Source organism: Homo sapiens, chromosome 13 (assembly GCF_000001405.40).
Source record: "Homo sapiens chromosome 13, GRCh38.p14 Primary Assembly".
Classification (NCBI taxonomy): Eukaryota; Metazoa; Chordata; class Mammalia; order Primates; family Hominidae; genus Homo; species Homo sapiens.
The window spans coordinates 99,097,127-99,120,791 of NC_000013.11; the positions used below are offsets into that span (position 1 = coordinate 99,097,127).

The 23,665-nt window shown below is 41.0% G+C and overlaps 2 annotated features.

The window, feature by feature from the left end:
- Positions 2,702-2,867: a silencer, noted in NCBI's record as "fragment chr13:99752082-99752247 (GRCh37/hg19 assembly coordinates)". NCBI's record gives its function as "represses an EF-1alpha promoter that drives an FKBP-Casp9 reporter gene in an ReSE screen in HepG2 liver carcinoma cells {active_cell/tissue: HepG2}" and the evidence as "EXISTENCE:reporter gene assay evidence [ECO:0000049][PMID:32094911]".
- Positions 22,868-22,927: an enhancer, noted in NCBI's record as "active region_7926". NCBI's record gives its function as "activates an Ori minimal core promoter by ATAC-STARR-seq in GM12878 lymphoblastoid cells {active_cell/tissue: GM12878}" and the evidence as "EXISTENCE:reporter gene assay evidence [ECO:0000049][PMID:35858748]".

Sequence of the window (23,665 nt, forward strand, 5' to 3'; positions counted from 1 at the left end):
TAGTATTCACATAAGGATAGAAATACAGATAAATAGAATATATAATTCATAGTCCAGGAATAAACCGGTACGTTTTGGGCAACAGTGCTAAGACCATTCAGTGGGGAAAGAATAGTCTTTTTCAACAAATGGTGCTGAGACAACTTGATATCCATGTGGAAAAAGAATTAAATTGAGGCTGGCCATGGTGGCTCATGCCTGTAATCCCAGCACTTTGGGAGGCAAGATGAGAGGATTGCTTGAGCCCAGGAGTTCGAGGCCAGCCTGGGCAGTGTAGTGAGACCTCATCTCTACAAAAAATAAAAATAAATTAGTCAGGCATGGTAGCATATGTCTGTAGTCCCAGCCACTTGGGAGGATCAGATGAGAGGATCACTTGAGCCCAGGAGGTTAAGGTTGCAATGAGCTAAGATCGTGCCACTGTACTCCAGCCTGGGTGACAGAGTGAGACCTGTCTCCAGAAAACAAACATACAAAAACAGTTAAATTGAGCATTACCTCACCCCATATACAAAAATTAATTCAAAATAAATCAAATAGCTAAAACCATGAAACACTTAGAAGAAAACAGAAGTATATAACTCTGCGACCTTGGATTAAGCAATGTTTTCTTAGACATGACACCAAAAGCACATGAAACAAAAGAAAATAGATAAATGGGGCATCATTAGAATTAAAACTTTTGTGCTACAAAGGATACTATCAAGAAAGTGAGAATGGCCGGGTGCAGTGACTCATGCCTGTAATCCCAGCACTTTGGGAGGCCGAGGCAGGCAGATCACCTGAGGTCAGGAGTTCGAGACCAGCCTGGCTAACATGGTGAAACCCTGTTTCTACTAAAAATACAAAAAATTAGCCAGGCGTGGTAGTGTGCAACTGTAATCCCAGCTACTCAGGAGGCTGAGGCAGGAGAATCACTTGAACCTGGGAAGCAGAGGTTGCAGTGAGCCGAGATTACGCCATCACACTCCAGCCTGGGCAACAGAGTGAGACTCTATCTCCAAAAAAAAAAAAAAAAAAAAAAAGGGGGTGGACTCATGCAATGGAATATTATTCAGCTATAAAAAGGGGTGTGTATTGATTTATGCCATAACATGTATGAACTTTAAAAACATTAAGTGAAAGCAGCCAAACACAAAAAGCCACTTATTGTACGACTGTATTTACATAAATGTCCAGATTAAACAAATCCATAAAGACAGAGAGTAGGTTTGTAGTTGTCAGAGGCTGGAGGGCGGGAAACGTAGGAAATATCTGCTAATAGGCATGGGGTTTCTTAGTGGGGTGAAGAAAATGACTGCAAAAGAGTGAACAGTGTGGCTCGTTTCATTTCTCTATCTATAATGTATAATCCAGAACACCGTTAATACTCACAGTAGCAATGTATACTACAAACCCTAAGCCTGCCATGTTATCATTTCTTTTTTGTTTTATTTTTATGTATGTATGTATGTATGTATTTATTTATTTTGAGACAGAGTCTCACTCTGTCATCCAGGCTGGAGTGCAGTGGCACAATCTTGGCTCACTGCAGCCTCTGCCTTCAGGGTTCAAGCAATTCTCCTGCCTCAGCCTTCTGAGTAGCTGGGATTACAGGCGCCCACCACCACACTCAGCTAATTTTTGTATTTTTAGTAGAGACAGAGTTTCACCATGTTGGCCAGGCTGGTCTCGAACTCCTGACCTCAAGTGATCCGCCCGCCTCGGCCTCTCAAAGTGCTGGAATTACAGGCGTGAGCCACGGCGCCCAGCCATGTCATCATTTCATAAAAGATTTGGTGACTGATGTTGAGTGAAAATTATCTTCAATGCCATTAAATATCAACAATCTCTTCTTATTGCTGTAGTACATACAATCACATAATGATCAGACATAATAACAGTGAATGCATAATGATAAAAATAATAGCTTAGTTTATAAAGCACTGTTATGTAAATGATTTTTACCTTATGAAATGAGTTCCTACAATATTCTTGTAAGATAAGTTAAAGTTCATGTCACAGGTGAGGTGCACAAACACCAATCGAGATATGTCCCTGAGTAACTTGAAATCTCTTGGAAATGGCTAAAATGGGACTTGGGTGTTGTATTAGTCAAGTTTCTACAGAGAAACAGAAATATATATAAATATCTATAGAGAGAGAGAATGGAATTTGTTAGGCAGTCCCATGATCTGCCATCTGTAAGCTGGAGACCCAGAAAAGCTGATGAGGTAGTTCAAAGGCCTGCAAGTAGGAGAGCCAATGGTATAGATTTGAACCCAGGTCTGAAGGTCTGAGAAACAGTAGCACTGAGGGTGGAAGACAAATGTTCCAACTCAGAGAGTCAGGCCAAGAGACTGACCCACACCGGGCTACCTGCTCTCCTCAGTTCACTCATTCACATACTCATCTCTTCCAGAGAGACCCTCACAACCACACCCAGAAACATGTTTAACTAGCTTCCTGGCATCCTGTGGCCCAGTCAAGTCGACGCATAAAATTAATCATCACAGGGCCTGGCATGGTAGCTCACACTTATAATCCCAGCACTTTGAGATGCCAAGGTGGGCGGATCACCTGAGGTCAGGAGTTAGAGACCAGCCTGGCCAACATGGCGAAACCCTGTCTCTACTAAAAATACAAAAATTAGCTGGGTGTGGGGGCAGACACCTGTGGTCCCAGCTACTTGGGAGGCTCAGGCACAAGAATCACTTGAACCCCAGAGGCAGAGGTTGCAGTGAGCCAAGATCACACCACTGCACTCCAGCCTGGGCAACAGAGCAGGACTCTGTTTCAAAAAAAACCCCATCACAGATAAGAAGGCTATGTCTGAGGAAGTAACTAAAGCTTTCTTCTCAATTATTTCCACTGTAGATACATCTTTTCATTGAGCCAATACAGCAGAAATTGGGCAAAAATTCCACATGATTTTAAAACAAATGTCTTCCTAAGTTGACTGGGTGAAACAGGAGTCAAAACCAGTTTCCTTTGGAAAATATTTATTTAACAAAACTCACACAATTTTTTCCAGAAAACACGGTAATAAAAATAAAAATATAAAGTTTCAATAGATGGGGGCTATCTTCAACAGTTCAAGAAATAAGAATCAGAAAAAAAATTGAACAGTCATAAAAAGACAAATACTATGTAATTCCACTTTACAGGATGCCTAGAATAGTCGAATTCATAGAGACAGAAAGCAGCATGGTGGTTTCCAGGGGCTGGAGGGAGAGGAGAATGGAGACTTGTTGTTTAATGGGTACAGAGCTTCGGTTTTACAAGATGAAAATAGTTGTGTGGATGGATGGTGGTGACGGTTCCAAAATAGTGTGAATGTACTTAATGCCACTAACTACACACTAAAAAAAAATAGTTAAGGTTGCAAATTGTATGTGTATTGGCCACAATTAAAAATTATAAAACTAGGCCGGGCACGGTGGCTCACGCCTGTAACCCCAGCACTTTGGGAGGCCGAGACGGGCGGATCACAAGGTCAGGAGATCGAGACCATCCTGGCTAACATGGTAAAACCCCGTCTTTACTGAAAAAAAAAAAAAAAAAAAATTAGCTGGGCGTAGTGGTGGGCGCCTGTAGTCCCAGCTACTCGGGAAGCTGAGGCAGGAGAATGGCGTGAACCTGGGAGGCGGAGCTTGCAGTGAGCCGAGATCGCACCACTGCACTCCAGCCTGGGCGACAGAGCGAGACTCCGTCTCAAAAAAAAAAAAAAAAAGAAAAATTATAAAACTATATATATAAATATATATACATCTCCAAGAAGGGAATAGCAGAAAAGCTGGGAGCATGAAAGTCACTTGAGTGTGAAGAGGGGCTGTTCCTAAGGCAGGACACCTAGAAATTTACAAGAATGGGCAAATCCTGTGTCAAGTGGTCTGAATCATATGCAATTTCTAGGGGTCCTCTTGAAAAAATACAGAGTTTTAAATATCAACTAGAGTACAAAAGGAGATATTTAGTATAAGAAAAATCATGTAAATTATAATTTTTAAGCTACTTAATACCACAAACATCACATAATCCTAAAAAATAGTATTTTTATAAACAAATTTTCTCATGCATCTCTAAAAGGCTTTTTTTCTTATAATTTTTGTCTGCAGACACTCTGATAGCCTCTTAAAAAGACAGTGATTTTGTAATATTTTGTTTGGCAAGAATAGAAAGAAAATTATCTTAAGCGTTGGTAATTGACATTTGAAAATGATTGATAGTTTAGAAATGCTTCTTTCTACTTCTATCAAAGCAACTAGTTGTTGGTAACATCTCGTAACTTTCTTGGATTTTGTCAAATTTCAGGAAAATTGTTAGTAAATAAATTTATGTATGAGCCGTAATATTTTAGGATACTTTCAGTTTTTCTGTGTCTGAGTCCTCAAGTTGACAATATTCATTACCTAGTTTGTCATCAATGTCCTCATTGTATTGGAAAATTAAGAGTTTTATGGAGGCCGGGCACAATGGCTCACACCTGTAATCCCAGCACTTTAGGAAGCCAAGGCAGAAGGATTGCTAGAGGCCAGGAGTTTGAGACCAGCCGGAGCAACAAAAAATTAGCTAGGCATGGTGGTGCATGCCAGTGGTCCCAGCTACTTTGGAGGGTGAGATGTGAAGATCCCCTGAGCCCAGGAGTTTGAGACTATGGTGAGTAATGAACTGGACACTGCTCTCCAACCTGGGCAACTGTATTAGTCCATTCTCACGCCGCTAATAAAGACATACCCAAGACTGGGTAATTTATAAAGGAAAGAGGTTTAATTGACTCATAGTTCAGCATGGCTGGGGAGGCCTCAGGAAATTTACGGTCATGGCAGAAGGAAAAGCAAACACATCCTTCTTCATGTGGCGGCAGCAAGGAGAAGAATGAGAGCCGAGCAAAGGAGGAAGTCCCTTATAAAACCATCAGATCTCATGAGCACTCACTCACTATCACGAGAACAGCATGAGGGAAACCACCCCCATGATTCAATTACCTCCACAGGTCCCTCCCACAACACGTGGGGATTATGGTAACTACAATTCAAGATGAGATTTGGATGGGGACACAGCCAAACCATATCAGCAACAGAGCAAGACCCTGTGTCTTAACAAAAAAAAATATTTTTAGAGTTTTATGTTCTCCTTACCAAAGTCAATATTTCATGTTTAACCCACATAGATTTTAAATTATTTTTCTTTATTTTTTTTAAGACAGGGCCTCGTGCTGTTGCCCAGGCTGCAGTGCAGTAGCATGATCATGGCTCACTGCAGCCTCAGCCTCCTGCACTCAAGACATCCTCCCTCCTCAGCCTCCTGGTTAGATGGGACTACAGGCACATGCCACCACACATGACTAATTTTTTATTTTTTGTAGAAACAGGGTCTTGCTGTGTTGCCCAGGCTGATCTCAAACTCCTAAGCTCAAGCAATCCTCCCACCTTGGCCTGCCAAAGTGCTGGGATTACAGGCATAAGCCACCACGCCAGGCTTAATTCTATGTGAGTTCATATAATTCACAACTCTTTATTACTCAGATTTCAAATAATCTAAATATAGAATCATTTGTTTCTCCTAACAGAATATCCCTTCCTCCTAATGCACGATTGGTTTTGGTATGATCTGGAAGTTTTGTGTTATACTTTCCTTCTCAGTGTCGGAATAACTCCTATTGACTTAATCACTCATCTTAACTGTTTTGTTTCATATCTCACTAATTTTTACCTAATTTTTCTCTCCCTTCTTTAATAAATAAATATAAGGATTGTAAAATAAGCTATCTTTGTGTATGTCTAAATAGGACTTTATCAGCTGGGCGTAGTGGCTAATGCCTGTAATCCCAGCACTTTTGGAGGCCGAGGCGGATGGATCACCTGAGGATGGAGTTTGAGACAGCCTGACCAACGTGGTGAAACCCTGTCTGTACTAAAAATACAAAAAATTAGCTGGGCGTGGTGGCGGGCACCTGTAATCCCAGCTACTTGGGAGGCTGAAGCAGGAGGTGGAGGTTGCAGTGAGCCAAGATTGCGCCACTCCACTCCAGCCTGGGCGACAGAGCGAGACTCTGTATCAAAAGAAAAGAAAAAAAAATAGGACTTTATGGTTTCTCATGTGCTTTTATTGAAATGTCCCAAAACATCTTTGTAAAATGCAGTTAATATGGTGCCTTCCTAACTCAGCTTCCCTTTAGCTAACCCCAAAACTCTCCATGAGGGAAGCCGAGGTGGAAAGACACAGTAGGCTTAACTGACGGCAGTTATGATATTTTCCTTCCGCAGAATTTGTAAACACTTCAGACCATCTGAACCCATTGCCAGTGCTCCTCCCAGGGTGAAGAGGGACCCTAAGGCTTAGGCACATCGACCTCTACCACCGCCCCAGCAGAAGCTGCTCCCTAGGAGAAATGTTCAGAGAACAAAGTCAGCACTTTGCCAATTGTTGAACCATACTTTAATTGTTTTCTTTTGTTTCATGACCACCCCTCCTGCCAAACTCCTCCTACTCCTGCTATAATTGGTATAATTATGAATTCTTTGTTTCTTCCTCCTCCCCTCCTCCCTCCTTTCTTCTTGGCTGCTCTTCCGCTCCTCTTGCATTCTGGGAGGACGGGCTCTGGATCCCCTGCTGTTGCTGACAGGTTTCATTAGCCTGATGGAAACGTTTCTCCTTCTCAGCCCCTCCTTTGGCAGCTGCTGAATTTCTCCCATCCTCTCAACGTGCTGAGTCTCAGCTCAGATCTACACCAACAACCCTCAGCTGCTGCAGCTGATGTTGTCCGTGTGACACGGATTAGCGGGTGGCAATCAGTGGAAATCCAATCACAGATCTCCCTTTCATTCATACAAAGAAGGAATAGAGTTTAACCGATGAAAATAATAATATAACTTTTAATGCCCCAACTTTGATCTCTGTTCTTTGATCACTCTTTGCCTTTTCACATGTCTTTGATAGTACATGAGTGAACTGAAGACTCAGGGGCCTGCGGGCTTTAAAATAAGGTGATATCCAACTGTCAGGTGCATTGTCAACGCCGCATAATCACAGTTTTTAGCACACGCAAAAGAGAATTCTACTGTCAATGCCAGAAAATAAGAGTTTCCGTAGACAGTCTGCTCTTAGCAAAGCTCCGATTTTCTTGATAGGCTTCAAGTTGAGTGTCCTGAGTAGGGCATGGGAATATTCTCTGAACAGAGACGACAAACTGATGGGAACTCACTCTAGAAAATAATAAAATATTATCTGTTACCAGTGCAGGGTGTCCAGGTTCTTGGCGTTTTGAACAAAGAATTGGACAAAATGCACAAACAAAGCAAGGAAAGAACGAAGCAACAAAAGCAGATTTATTGAAAACAAAAGTACACTCCAAAGGGTGGGAGCGGCCTGAGCATAGATTCTCAAGAGCCCCTTTACAGAATTTTCTGGGGTTTAAATACCCTCCAGAGGTTTCCCATTGGTTACTTGGTGTACACCTATGTAAATAAACTAGCGGCCCATCATCAGTCTGATTGGTTGTCGAAAGCAACCAATCAGAGGCTGAAGTGAAGTTACAAAGTTACCCTTCTATGCAAACGTCTGATTGGTTGCAAAAAGCAACCAATCAGAGATACGTACAATTTTCCATCTGCCACGCAGAAAAAAAGGGTGGGGGGTTTTGCAAAAGGGGTAGCCTCAGGTCCTTTCGTTACTTAGGTGTGGAACGTTGGGGTTTTCCTTTTGATTTAGTTCTAGGAAGTCAGCCTGAATCAGCCTTAGGTTCCCTGCTTCAAGACCCGGTTCTCCTGCCTCATTATCTATTGGAGTATGAGTGTATATGTCATATAACTGTCTAAAGATAGGCAAGGTTGTCAAAAACTGCAAGACGAGAATCAGATGTTATGTAATTTCTGAGAAGACTTCCTGAATCACACTTTCCTCACCTGTAAAAATGAAAAGATTGTTAAGCTCCCTTCACCTCTGATATTTGAACTCTATACTGTTCTATTAATGCCCACAGAGTTTATCTTTTCCCTCTTCATCTTCCTTCTTCTTGCCACATGCATGTCCAGCCACTCTCTTTCTACATTTACATATCACACTAGAAAAAAATTTAAAAACCAAGTTCCATCAGGTCTAAACATAGCACAACAAGAACCCCTTGAATAGGAGGAAAAATTCCAGCCCAAGATTATAGTCCTAGGGTTTGATTTTGCTTGGACTTTCAGGCAATGATTATTCAGTCTTTGCCATTGTCTAGAGCAAGGGTCAGCAAACTTTCTGGAAAGGACCAGTTAGTAAATATTGTAGGCTTTGCTGGCCAAAACGTCTCTGTTGCAACTGCTCCTCTCTGTCACTGTGGTGCTGAAGCCGCCATAGGTAATACAAAAATTGACAAGCATGGCTGTGTTCCAGTGAAACTCTATACGCATGGAAATTTGAACTTTGTATAATTTTCACTTGACATGAAATATTATTCTTCTTTTGACTTTTTTTCAATAATTTCAAAACGTAAACCATTCTGAGTTTATGGCCAATGCAAAAACAGGTAGCAGTAGAGATTCAACACAATGCCTATCAAAATTTCAACTACATTTTTTGTGGAAATTGACAAACTGACCCTAAAATTCATATGGAAATCCAAGGGCCCCAGAATAGCCAAACTAATCTTGAAAACAGCAAAGCTGGCGATTCACATTTTCTGATTTCAAAAATAACTATACAGCTTCAGTAATCAAGACTGTGGTGTTGGCATAAGGATAGACATATAAATCAGTGGAGTAGAATTAAAACTCTAGAAATAAGCCCATGAATTTATGGTCAATTGATTTTTGACAAGTGTGCAGATAAAATTAATGCGGAAAAATAGTTCTTTCAAAAAATTGTCCTGGGACACCTTGATATCTTCATGAAAAAGAATAATGTTGGAACCTTACCTTATACCATGTGTAAAAATTAACTCAAAATAAATCAGACCTAAATATAACAGCTAAAACTATAAAACTCTTAGAAGAAAATATAGGCATAAATCTTCACAACCTTGGGTTAGACAATGGTTTCTCAAACACAACACCAAGAGAGCTCAAGCAACCAAAGAAAAATTATATAAATTGGATTTCCTCAAAATGAAAAACATTGGTGCTTCAAAGGACACTATTAATAACATGAAAAGATATCTCATCAAATAGGATAAAATTTTTACAAATCATATAACTGATGAGACTTGTATTTAAGATACATAAAGAACACCTACAATTCAAAGATAAATGACTCAATTAAAAGTGGACAAAGAACCTAATTAGACATGCTCAAAGAAGATATACAAATAGCCAATAAGCACATGCTCAACATTATTAGCCATTAGGAAAATACAACTGAAAGACGTGAAAAACTATTCATAGCTAGGCACAGTGGCAGGCTTGTAATCCCAGCATTTTGGGAGGGCGAGGCAGAAGGATCACTTGACACTAGGAGTTCACAACCAGCCCAGGCAACATAGCAAGACCCCAGTTTCTACAAAAAAAATTTTTTTTAATTAGCCGAGTGTGGTGGGGTATGCATGTGGTTCCAGGCTGAGGCAGGAGGATGACTTGAGCCCAGAAGGCTGAGGCTGCAACAAGCTGTGATCATGCCACTGCACTCCAGCTTGGATGATGTCTCAAAAAAAAAAAAAAAAAAAAAAGTAAAACCATTCATACTCATTAGTATAGCCATAATTTAAGAGAGATAATAAGTATTGGTGAGGATGTGGAGAAATTAAAACCCCCATACACTGCTGATGGGTATATAAAATGGTGCACCTGCCTTGGAAAACCGTTTGGCAACTCCTCAAATGATTGAACATAGAGTTGCCATATGATCAAGCACATCCTCTCCTAATTATATATCCAAGAGAGTTGAAAACATATATTCACACACAAACTTGTGTACAAATGTTTATAGCGGCATTAGTCATAATATCAAAAAAAGGAAGCAACCTAAATGTCCATCAACTGGTAAACAGACAAACAAAATGTATTTTAACCATACAATTGAATGTTATTCAGCCATAAAAAGGAATGAAGTATTAAAACCTGCTACAACATGTATGAGCCTTGAAAACAGTATGCTAAGTGAAAGAAGCCAGTCACAGAAGACCACATATCATATAATTCTATTTTTATGAAATGTCCACAGTAGGCAAAGAGATAGAGACAGAAAGTAGATCAGCAATTGCCTAGGAGAGTGAATAGCGTGGAAAGATTGAGGGCGACAAATAAGAGGTGTAAGATGTCTTTTTAGAATAATGAAAATGACTCAAAATTGATCACGATGACAGATGTGCAAACTGAATTTTAATCAAAAGCCATTGAATTTTTCTAAAAATGAAAAAGATCTCAAATTAGCAACATAATCTTCCGTGTTAAGATACTGGAAAAAGAAGATCATCCAAAACAAACCCAAGAAAGGTAAAAGAATTAAGGCCGGGCATGGTGGCTCGTGCCTGTAATCCTAGCACTTTGGGAGGTCAAGGCAGATGGATCGCTTGAGCCTAGGAGTGCGAGACCAGCTTGGGCAACATAGGGAGACCCCACCTCTCCAAAAAGTACAAAAGTAGCCAAGTGTGGCGGCGCATGTCTGTAGTCCCAGCTACTAAGGGAGCTGAGGTGGGAGAATCGAGCCCAGGAGGTTGCACTCCAGCCTGGGTAACAGAGTGAGAGTCTGAAGAAGGAAGGAAGGAAGGAAGCAAGGGAGGAAGGGAGGAAGGCAGGAAGGGAGGAGGGGAGGAGGGGAGGAAGCGAGGAAGCGAGGAAGGGAGGAGGGGAGGAGGGGAGGAAGGGAGAAAGAGGAAAAGGAGGAAGGGAGGAAGGGAGGAAAGGGAAGGGAGAAAGGAAGGAAGAACGAAGGAAGGGAGGGGAAGGGAAGGGAGGGAAGAAAGGGAAGAGAAGGGGAGGGAAGGGAGAAAGAAAGAGGGAGAGAGGGAGGGAGGGAAAGAGAGAGAGAAAGAAAGAAAGGGAGAGAGAAAGAAAGAAAGAGGGAGGGAGGGAGGGAAAGAAAGAGAGAAAGAAAGAAAGAAAGAAAGAAAGAAAGAAAGAAAGAAAGAAAGAAAGAAAGAAAGATTGATTAAAATCATACGTAGTGTGTTCCCAGATTACAGTGGAATCAAACTAGAAATTAGTCACTTGGAAACTAAACAACACACTTCTAGATAGTTCAGGGGCCAGAGATGAGGTCTCAGGAGAAACTGAAAAAAAAAATACATTAAATTGAATGAAAATGAAAATATAACATATCGCCGGGCGCGGTGGCTCACGCCTGTAATCCCAGCCCTTTGAGAGGCCGAGACGGGCGGATCACGAGGTCAGGAGATCGAGACCATCTTGGCTAACACGGTGAAACCTCATCTCTACTAAAATACAAAAAATCAGCCGGGTGTGGTGGCATGCACCTGTAGTCCCAGCTACTCAGGAGGCTGAGGCAGGAGAATGGCGTGAACCCGCGAGGCGGAGCTTACAGTGAGCCGAGATCGCACCACTGCAGTCCGGCCTGGGCTACAGAGCAAGACTCCATCTCAAAAAAAAAAAAAAAAAAAAAAGAAAATATAACATATCAAAACTTGTAGGACAAAGCAATTCTAAGAGGGAAATATATAAGTACTGTACTAAGTGCATATATTTTTATAGAGAAAAAAACCCTAAAATCAGTAATTTAAAATTCCACCTTAAGAGCTAGAAATAAAAAAGAGAAAAATATAGGCTGGGTGCAGCATACCTGTAATCTGAGCACTTTGGGAGGCCATAGGTCGCTTGAACTCAGGAGTTCAAGACCAGCTGAGTAACATGACAAAACTCTGTCTCTACAAAAACTACAAAAATTAGCCAGGCATGGTGGCACACGCCTGTGGTCCCAGCTACTCAGGAGGCTGAGGTGGGAGGATCACTTGAGCCCATGCAGTCAAGGTTGCCACGAGCCAATATCAGGCCACTGTACTTCAGCCTGAGTGACAGAGCCAGACCCTGTCTAAAAAAAAAAAAAAAGAAAAAAAAATTGTTTTAAAGAGCAAAATAAACTCAAAGCAAGTAGAAGGAAAGAAATAAAGTGCAGAAATCAACAACACTGAAAATAGAAAAACAATAGAGAAAAATTAACGAAACAAAAAGATGGTTCTTTGAAAAGATCAATAAAATTGACAAACCTTTAGCAAGACAGACAAAGAAAAAAGAGACAAGATACAAATTATCAATATCAGGAAGGAAAGAGAAGACATCACTACAGACCCTGCAGACATAAAAAGATAACAAGGAAACACTATTAATAACTCTACATACATACATTTGACAAATTAAAATACATGGACCAATTTCTTGGAAAAAAAAAAAACAAAAAACAAAACAAAAAAAAATGACATGCCAGGCACGGTGGCTCATGCCTGTAATCCCAGCACTTCAGGAGGTTGAGGTGGGTAGATCACAAGGTCAGGAGTTCATGACCAGCCTGGCCAATATGGTGAAACCTTGTCTCTACTAAAAATACAAAAAAAATTAGCCGGGCATGGTGGCATATGCCTGTAATCCCAGCTACTTGGGAGGCTGAGGCAGGAGAACTGCTTGAATCTGGGAGGCAGAGGTTGCAGTGAGCCGAGATGGCGCCACTGCACTCCAGCCTGGGTGACAGAATGAGATTCCGTCTCAAAAAAAAACAAAACAAAACAAAACAAAAAAAACCTACAATTCTTCCAATATGAAAAACATCATTTGAATGGTCCTATGCATAAAGGAAGCTTAATTTACAATTTTAAAATTTCCAAAAGGGAAATCTGCAGGCGCTAATGGTTTTCCTGGACAATTCTCCTAATGTTTAAAGAAGAATTAACACTAATTCTATACACTCTCTTCAGAAGAATAAAAGAGGAAGGAACAATTCTCAGGTTTTTAAATGAAGGCAGTATTCTCGATTTATTTTTACTGAAACTATTTGACGATTACAGGCTCATGCCTGTAATCCCAGCACTTTGGGAGGCCAAGGCAGGAGGATTGCTTGAGGCCAGGAGTTCGAGACCAGACTGGGTAATATAGCAAGACCCTGTTTCTAAAAAAAAAAAAAAAAAAAAAAAATTGTTGGGTGTGGTGATGTGCACCTGCAGTCTGAGCTACTCAGAAGGCTGAGACAGGTGGGTCACTTGAGCCCAAGAGTTGGAGGTTACAGTAAGCTATGGTTGTGCCACTATATTCCAGCCTAGGTGACAGCACTGAGATCCTATCTCTAAAAAGAAGGGAAAAAGAAGGCAGAAAAAAGGGAAAATCTTTGGGGCCTAGGACGGGGCAGAGTTCTTGGACTCTTCATCAAGAGTATGATCCCTAAAAGGAAAATGTAACAAATTGGGTTTTCCTCATCCATTGCTGACACTTTCCTGATATTATCAGAAGGTATCAATGGAATGTTTTCTGACAACACCAGGACTCATACTCTTCCCACGTGTGGATCTTAAATGGTTTATTGATTAAATACCAGGGATGTCCGTTGTCCAGTTATTCAACTATGAATAACAACCAAGGTCATATGTTCACAGGCAATGACCATTATCATGGTCTCTCTGTCAATAATGATTATCATGCTATCACTTTTAAGACAGATCCACATTTCTGTGGTGTAAAAATGCAGGAGGGAAATGTGCAACACAGTTTCTATTGCTATTCGTGTCTAGTGAACCTTTCTTAAAGCATAATGAATGCTATAAAACACATCTGAAGGCACTTTAGGGGATCCTAGGGTAGAATATTTCCTCTCACTCCCATTCAGCCATCCAGGGAGCGTTCCCATCTCACGAATAAAGTATGTAGTTTTCCATAAAACACACATTATCAAATAAAAGGAATACTTAAATCTAAGGTATAATTATATATAATTATATGGAACAAATATAATTATATAAATGTGTATTTTACATACACCTTATTATTATTGATTTACAAGGTTGTGATTACTTCGTTGGGGTTGCCATAGCAATGAACTTATTAAATAGAGAAATACTTTCATTTTTCAGCATTAAAAATGAATAATCAAAATCAACCATTGGACCTAATATATCCAACTCTTAATTATCTGCAATTATCAAAGATTAGTTGACCTTTGAAGATGATATACAATAGCAGCTTCTGGAAGAGAGGAGAAAAAGATTTCCCAAGGTGGTAGGACCACCACTATGGAAGGTGAGGAATGTGATTTGTGGGAGAGTCCAGTGGTTCCTTCCCCACTCCTCTTTTCCTACTCAAAACGATATCTTCTATTGGCCTAAAATTCTGTTTATTCATTAAGGTGATGGCATTTGCCTATAGGAAATCTCAGTTTGCTCCTGCTATAGCTTTTACAAATTCCATATATCAAAAGCACACTATATGCCAGGCCCTGGGCTTGGTGTTTTACACATAAAGCACAAGTTATCTACAAAAAAAAGCTTAAAATGAGTTAATTCAAGGAACAGCTTTCTAACTTAACGAGTTGTGTACAAAACCCTCTGGACCAAGATACTGTTCTCAAGCGGAGATCTTTTTTTTTTTTCTTTTTTTGAGATAGAGTTTCGCTCTTGTCACCCAGGCTGGAGTGCAATGGCGTAATCTTGGCTCACTGCAACCTCCGCCTCCTGGGTTCAAGTAATTCTCTTGCCTCAGCCTCCTGAGTAGCTGGGACTACAGGCGCCCACCAACATGCCCGGCTAATTTTTGTATTTTTTGTAGAAATGGGTTTTCACCATGTTGGCCAGGTTGTTCTCGAACTCCTGACCTCAGATGATCTGCCCGCCTTGGCCTCCCAAAGTGCTGGGATTACAGGCATGAGCCACTGCGCCCGGCCTCAAGGGGAGATCTTAAGGACATATGGGGAAATCGTGGAGTGTCAAATTTATTTGTTTGTTTTGACATAAGGATTGGGGCTGCTGCTGGCATTTTGAAGTCAGGAGCCAGGGTTGCTAGATTTAGGGCTCCCCTCCACGTAGTTGTTAATTTTTGTACCACACAAAGGCACTCAGCAAGGGAGTGAGTGGGGCTGAAAGTTCCACTTGCCAAGAAGAAAGTTGCGTCCATTTTGGTGAAGGGCTCCATGTTGGAAATCTTCCATCCAAAGGGGATGCCTTTTTATGATTTGTCTGCCCAGAGAAGGTGAACTTTTACAATTGAAATACAGCTGCCCATGCATGCTACCTGCAGCCCTGGCTACACATGCTGCAATGAGACAGGAAAGTACAACAATCCCTTAATTCTATCCAACTTTTAAATTTCTCACTGGTCATTCCTGTAAGTAAAAAAAAAAAAAAAAAAAAAAAAAAAAAAAAAAAAAAAAAAAAAAAACAGTTTAAAAATTATCTAAAAATGTAAATAAATAAAAAATTACCTAAGCCTAGACTCTAACCCTGTTTTACATACAAACACAAGGTATCTTTCAATCTTATTTTTTAAATTAACAATAGAATGACATTTTTGGGTTCAGTTTTCACACATGTATAGATATGTGTGTATGTGTAATTACTTACACAGCTAGGCTACAGGACAGTTACCTTACCACCAAACGCCACCTCTGCTTATCTATCTGCAGTCATCCTCCTGTGACCCCAAACCCCAAACCTGGCAATGACTGATCTGCCATCCCTTACGATGGTCTTGTCTTTTTGAGAATATTGTATATATTGAAATCATACAGTATGTAGCCTTTTCAAAGCAGCTTCTTTTACTCAGCATAATGCCTCTGAGTTTCACACAAGTTATTGCAAGAATGAATGCTTCATTTCTATTATTTCTGAGTTACAGTTCATTGCGTGGACGTACCACAGTTGGTTTATCCATTCATCCCTTGAAGGGCATTTGGATTATTTCCAGGTTTTGCCTATTATGAATACAGCTACAGTAAAATGTACATATATCGGTTTTATGAGCCAAAATATTTACTTTTCTAGAGTAAATGCCTAAGAGTGGGACTGCTGGGTCAGATGGTAATTGCGTGTTTAATTTTATAAAAATCTGCTAGACTATTTTCTGGAGTGACTATACCATTTTGCATTCCCACCAGCAACATATGAGGGTTCTAATTGATCCACATATTTGCCAGCACAGGAGTGACAGTATTTTTAAATTTATCCATCCCAATAGGTGTGTAGTGGTATCTCATTGTGCCTTTCCCTTGCATTTCCTTAATGGCTAATGCTGTTGAACATCTTTTCACTTGCTTATTTTCCATCTGCATATCCTCTCTAGTGGAGTGTTAAGTCTTTTATGCATTTTCAAATTGGGTTATTTGTTTTCTTACTCCTCGGTTTGGAAGAGTTTTTTTTTTTAATATTCTGAATATAAGTCCTTTGTTGGATATGCAATTTGAAAATTATTTGCTCTAAGTCTTTAGCCTCGTTTCATTCTCTTAATAGTGTCTTGCTGGGCATGTGGCTCACACCTATAATCCCAGCACTTCGGGAGGCCGAGGTGGGAGGATCGCCTGAACCCAGGAGTTAGAGACCAGCCTGGGACAAAGTGAGACCTCACCTCTACGAAAAATACAAAAATTAACCAGGTGTAGTGGCATGTGCCTGTAGTCCCAGCTACTTCAGTGGCAGAGGTGAGAGAATAACCTGAGCCCAGGAGGTTGAGGCTGCAGTGAGCCAATGTCACACCACTGCACTCCAGTCTGGGTGAAAGAGACCTTGTCTCAAACAAAAAGAAAAAAGAAATGGTGCCTTTTGTAGAGAAAAAAAAAAAAATTTTTTTTGAGACGGAGTTTCGCTCTGTCGCCCAGGCTGGAGTGCAGTGGCGCGATCTTGGTTCACGGCAAGCTCCACCTCCTGGGTTCACGCCATTCTCCTGCCTCAGCCACCCAAGTAGCTGGGACTACAGGCGCCCGCCACTACCCCCGGCTAATTTTTTGTATTTTTAGTAGAGACAGGGTTTCACCGTGTTAGCCAGGATGGTCTCGATCTCCTGACCTCGTGATCCGCCCGATTCGGCCTCCCAAAGTGCTGGGATTACAGGCGCGAGCCACCGCGCCCGGCAGAGCAAAAATTTTTTAATTTTGATGCCACTGCACTCCAGCCTAGGTGACAGAGACCCTGTCTCAAACAAAAAGAAAAAAGAAAAAAGAAATGGTGCCTTTTGCAGAGCAAATTTTTTTAATTTTGATGAAGTCTAATTTACTTTTTCCAGCTGGGCACGGTGGCTCACGCCTGTAATTCCAGCACCTTGGAAGGCCGAGGCGGGCAGATCACCTGAAGTCAGGAGTTCGAGACAGGTCTGGCCAACATAGTGAAACCCATCTCTACTAAAAAGTACAAAAATTAGCCAGGCGTGGTGGCACACGCCTGTAATCCCAGCTACTCGAGAGGCTAAGGCGGGACAATTGCTTCAACCAGGGAGATGGAGCTTGCAGTGAGCCAAGATCGTGTCATTATACCCCAGCCTGGGTGACAGAGCGAGACTCCATCTCAAAGAAAAAAAAATTACTTTGTGTTTTTGATGTCATGGAAAATAAGTCTTTGTGTAACACATCTAAGATTTTCACCATTTTGTGTTTTACATTTAGATCTATAATTTATTTTGAGTTAATTTTGGTACAAATCATAAAGTTTTTTTTGTGTGTTTTTTTTTTTTTTGCATATGGATGACCAAAGTTCCCAACACCAATTACTAAAACTATCCTTTCTCCATTGACTTGGCTTTGCATCTTTGTTGAAAATCAAATGACCATAATTGCCTGAAGGCTTGGAATCCAGAGAATAAAGAAAAGAAGGGGGAAAAAAAAAAGAAAAATGGCAATTTACTCCAAACTCTCTGTTAACAATTCTCCTTTTTTGGATGGAGCTGGAGGCCATTATTCTAAGTGAAGTAACTCAGGAATGGAAAACCAAATACCCTATATTCTTTTTTTTTTCTTTTTTCTTTTTTTTTTTTTTCCTATATTCTCACTGGAAAGTGGGAGCGAAGCTATGGGTCTGCAAAGGCAAACATAGTGATATAAGGAACCATGGAGACTAGGGGTGGGGAGTGAGGATAAAAAACTACATATTGGGTACAGTGTATACTACTCAGGTGATGGTGCACTAAAATTTCAAACTTCATCACTATACAATTTATCCATGTAACCAAAAACCACTTATACCCAAAAGCTATTAAAATACAAAAATATTTTTTAAAAATCAAACAAACTCTGTGAAAGGGCAAAACAAGCTGTCTTATCAGTGGAAGAAATTATAGTGCAACATTTGCCTACTCAACAATGTCAAACGATGTCAGATGGGCAGTGAAACATTGGGGAAATATTTGTAGCAAATGTGCCAAAGGTATTTATTGTATGTTATTAAAGATCTTGTGCCCATGAAAAATAAAGCAAGTTATAGAATAGAAAAGAAAAATCATATTTTACCCTAAACTCTCTGACTGTTAGGAATCCCCTTCTCAGTTGTTATAGCCAGAACTAGAGTGCTTTCCCTGAAGCTCTTTCTCTCCATGAGTGGGGCCCACTTCTGGGTTTAGTACTGCCCTGGGGCCAGGTCTGGGGAATACTGGAAAGGGCAATACTGGAAGGAACAAAACCAGGAAACTCTCCTCTGGTTTGAGCTCCAAGAAAAGCTCTCTAGTCTTGAACTCAAACAAATTTACAAGAAAAAAACAAACAAACCCATCAAAAAGTGGGCAAAGGACATGAACAGACACTTCTCAAAAGAAGACATTTATGCAGCCAAAAAACACATGAAAAAATGCTCATCATCACTGGCCATCAGAGAAATGCAAATCAAAACCACAATGAGATACCATCTCACACCAGTTAGAATGGCAATCATTAAAAAGTCAGGAAACAACAGGTGCTGGAGGGATGTGGAGAAATAGGAACACTTTTACACTGTTGGTGGGACTGTAAACTAGTTCAACCATTGTGGAAGTCAGTGTGGCGATTCCTCAGGGATCTAGAACTAGAAATACCATTTGACCCAGCCATCCCATTACTGGGTATATACCCAAAGGACTGTAAATCATGCTGCTATAAAGACACATGCACACGTATGTTTATTGCGGCACTATTCACGATAGCAAAGACTTGGAACCAACCCAAATGTCCAACAATGATAGACTGGATTAAGAAAATGTGGCACATATACACCACAGAATACTATGCAGCCATAAAAAATGATGAGTTCATGTCCTTTGTAGGGACATGGATGAAATTGGAAATCCATCATTCTCAGTAAACTACCGCAAGAACAAAAAACCAAACACCGCATATTCTCACTCATAGGTGGGAATTAAACAATGAGATCACATGGACACAGAAAGGGGAACATCACACTCTGGGGACTGTTGTGGGGTGGGGGGAGCGGGGAGGGATAGCATTGGGAGATATACCTAATGCTAGATGACGAATTAGTGGGTGCAGCACACCAGCATGGCACATGTATACATATGTAACTAACCTGCACAATGTGCACATGTACCCTAAAACATAAAGTATAATAATAAAAGAAAAAAAAAAAACCTAGAGCTCAATCTAATTGATATTTAATCATCTTCTTGAGATTAGAAAAGTTTTCTACATATTCCATTTTTGTTTTTTATACTTAGGCTTTTTTAAGTGTTAGGGCATCAAGAAGCAAAAGCTTATTTCATAATGCTAAGTAAAGAATAACTATCATAATGCAAGTATTGTGCTCACAAGTTTTTTAAAAATGCTATCAGGTTAACTAATTCAATTATCATTATAAATTTCAATATTTAATTGCAGTGTCAATTTGTCCATCTTATTGTTTATCTTGGCCTTTACATCTGTTATCCCTTCAACATTCTAATTAAAAAACCCACAAAAGAAAAAAAAAAAAGAAAAAAAAAAGCTCTCTAGTTCTGGCTATAGCAACTGAAAGGGGGATTCCTAAATTCTGGCCTTTTTAACCAATCCATCTGCTACTATTTACTTTTTAGAGTCCTCCAACAGCTATTCCATGCAGATTTTATAAATGCATTCAGTGAGTAAGACAGGATAGGATATGCTTTCTCCATCTTACCCACGTCCAGAACTCCTAAACACAGGGCATTTGTTTACACTGTTTTAATATAGACTGAAATTTTCAGAAATGTACCTAACATGTAAAATCAGGAAATATTCTATTTTATTTTGTTATGAACTATACAAAACTGTGGCCTTCATCTTCTAAAGTCACCAAAGGCAGTGTCATCCATGGCATTTGGGTTGCTAGCAAAACACTCCCATTTGAGCCTGCATTTGTAGCTTTGTATTTCTAGAAATTGTAAATATACACCCGTTCTTTTTTATTTATTTATTTTTTTGAGATGGAGTCTCACTCTGTCACCAAGGCTGGAGTGCAGTGGCACGATCTCAGCTCACTGCAACCTCCGCCTCCCAGGTTCAAGCAATTCTCCTGCCTCAACTTCCTGAGTAGCTGGGACTACAGGCGTCCGCCACCATGCCTGGCTAATTTTTTGTATTTTTAGTAGAGACGGGGTTTCACCGTGTTAGCCAAGTTGGTCTTGATCTCCTGATCTCATGATCTGCCCACCTCGGCCTCTCAAGTGCTGGGATTACAGGCGTGAGCCACTATGCCTGGCCAATTTTTGTATTTTTAGTAGAGACAAGGTTTCACCATGTTGGCCAGGCTGGTCTCGAACTCCTGACCTTAAGTGATCCACCCGCCTCAGCCTCCCAAGCCTTTTTTTTTTAAAAGGAGTCTCACTCTTTTGCCTAGGCTGGAGTGCAGTGGTGCCATCTCGGCTTACTGCAACCTCCGCCTCCTAGATTAAAGCAATTCTCCTGCCTCAGCCTCCCGAGTAGCTGGGATTACAGGTGTGTGCTACCACGCCCTGCTAATTTTTGTATTTTTCGTAGAAACAGGGTTTCACCATTTTGGCGAGGCTGGTCTCGAATCCCTGACTTCAGGTGGCAGCCCGCCTCAGCCTCCCAAAGAGCTAGGATTACAGGCGCGATATACCCGAAAAGCTATTAAAATACAAAATATTTTAAAAGAAAATAAATGCAAAAATTTTTTAAAAAATATTCGCCCAGCCAGAATTCTTTATGACTACTACTTTGTGTTTTGCCTGAGGCATCAAAATATTGAAATATGTATTATTATAAATTACTTAACTTTTATTTTCCTTTGTATTATACGTCAGGCATCATCTTGATATTTTTGAAATGATGTGTTTTAGCAGATTAAAGGTGGCTTTAGATCTTTTGACACTCAACCTTCTAGAAGGTGCTCTGGGAGGTGGCCAGGCATCTCATTCTTCACGCAATTTCAGGGACTCTTCATGTGTTTCTTGAGCAGGGTGATCTCAGGGTAGTTGGACTTCCAACTGGCAGCTCAAGGCCGTGAGTGTTCCCAGAACTCCAGATGGCAGCTGCAAGAATTCTTATTGTAGCAGGACGAGCCGCAGACAAAACTCCTCAGACACTGAGTTAAAGAAGGAAGGGGTTTATTCGGCCGGGGGCATCAGCAAGACTCCTGTCTCAAGAGCTGAGCTCTCCGAGTAAGCAATTCCTGTCCCTTTTAAGGGTTTACAACTCTAAGGGGGTGCGCATGAGAGGGTCGTGACAATTGAGCAAGCAGGGGGTACGTGACTGGGGGCTGCATGCACCGGTAATTAGATCAGAACAAAGCAGGATAGGGATTTTCACAGTGCTTTTCTATACAATGTCTGTAATCTGTAGATAGCATAACCGATTAGGTCAGGGGTCCATCTTTAACTACCAGGCCCAGGGTGTGTCGCCGGGCTGTCTGCTTGTGGATTCCATTTCTGCCTTTTAGTTTTTACTTTTTCTTTCTTTGGAGGCAGAAATTGGGCATAAGACAATATGAGAGATGTTCTCCTCCCTTATTATGACCTAGCATTCGAGGTCTCAAAACCACATGATCTTGATCAAGCAAGTCACTAAGGAGCATTCTAGAATTAGGGGAGGTTAAGGACAGTAGCTGCCCAGAAAGGGCTGATACCAGGAATGGCTTGTTGATAGGACAATGACCTGGAGGGCCAAGGCTCCCCAGACTCCAATTAATGAACAAAATGCTTTGCATTGGGTGATTCTTGATAATTCATAAAACAAATGGAGAGGAAGTCCCTTTCATTGGGTGAATCTGCATGCAGTGTCCTTGGTATATTTCTTGACCTGGAGCAGAGCTGCCAGGGATTTCCTTTGAATGCCTATATGCACAGAGCAAATAGATATTTATTCAGTATCGCAGTGCTAAGCATTATGAGTGATGGAGTTATATCTTGTCTCTGCCCTTGAAGGCTACAATGCTATTGTAAAAACAGGTATACCAGTATTTGTAAATCAAGCCATATGCAAAAATTGCCGTGAGAAAGAGTTGAAGAGCTGTATGAACCCAGAAGAAAGAAGTATCTCTTTTCATGTCTGACCATCTCTCTGGGATTTCAACTCTTGTATCCCATTGGAATCACCTGGGGAGTGTTTTAAACATAATAATGGCCCTCTTCAGATTCTGATTTAATTGAGGGGTGGGTTCAAGCATCAGTATTTATGCTCTTCAGATGATTCTCATGGTAAGACAAAATTGTGAACAATGCGCAGCATGCCCCTGCTTTCCTGATGATGAGACTCACCTTAGCACAACTGTGAATGGTATCATTTTCCCTGGAAGACAGCAGATTCAGCAGGTCTGAGAAGGACGAAGTATGTGTTGTTTTAGCAGTTGCCCGGGTGATTCTTATCCTCAGGGAAGTTTAGTTAACACTGCTGATATGGTTTGGCTGTGTCCCCACCCAACTCTCTCCCATAATTCCCATGTGCTGTGGGAGGGACCCGATGAGAGGTAATTGAATCATGGGGGTGGTTCCCCCGTACTGTTCTTATGGTAGTGAATAAGTCTTATGAGAGCTGATGGTTTGATAAGGGGAAACCCCCCTCTCTTGGTTCTCATTTTCTCTCTTGCCTGCTGCCACGTAAGACTTCTGCCTTCTGCCTTCTGCCTTCCGCCATGATTGTGAGGCCTCCCAAACCACGTGGAACTGTGAGTCCATTAAACCTCTCTCTCTCTTTTTTTTTTTTTTTTTTTTTTTTTGAGACGAGTCTCTCTCTGTCCCCCTAGGCTGGAGAGCAGTGGCGCCATCTCGGCTCACTGCAAGCTCTGCCTCCCGGGTTCACGCCATTCTCCTGCTTCAGCCTCCCGAGTAGCTGGGACTACAGGCGCCCGCCACCACGCCCGGCTAATTTTTCGTATTTTTTAGTAGAGACGGGGTTCCACCGTGTTAGCCAGGATGATCTCGATCTCCCGACCTCGTGATCCGCCGGCCTTGGCCTCCCGAAGTGCTGGAATTACAGGCGTGAGCCACCGCGCCCGGCCAAACCTCTCTTTCTTTATAAATTACCCAGTAGTCTCAGGTATATCCTTATGAGCAGTGTAAGAATGGACTAATACAACTGCCTTACTCCAACCCCTCTCAGTACTTAATGCAGACTCCACTCTGAATGAACCTCTATTTTAATCGCAAATATAGAGGTGATCCCTACCCCAAACCTTCAATAAAATCGTAATTCTAATGCCAGCCTTAAATTAAATCTGAACCCAAGTTTTACTTTGATTCCCACCCTAACAACTACTTCCAGTTTTAACTCTCAAGCCCATTCACTCACACCTCTGAGAAAGAGCCTTATTTTAAACCATACTTCTTCCATCCTTTTCTCCATCCTTCTATCTCTATCAGCTTGTTGACTTCAACATGGGAGTTATTTGGTACTTTAG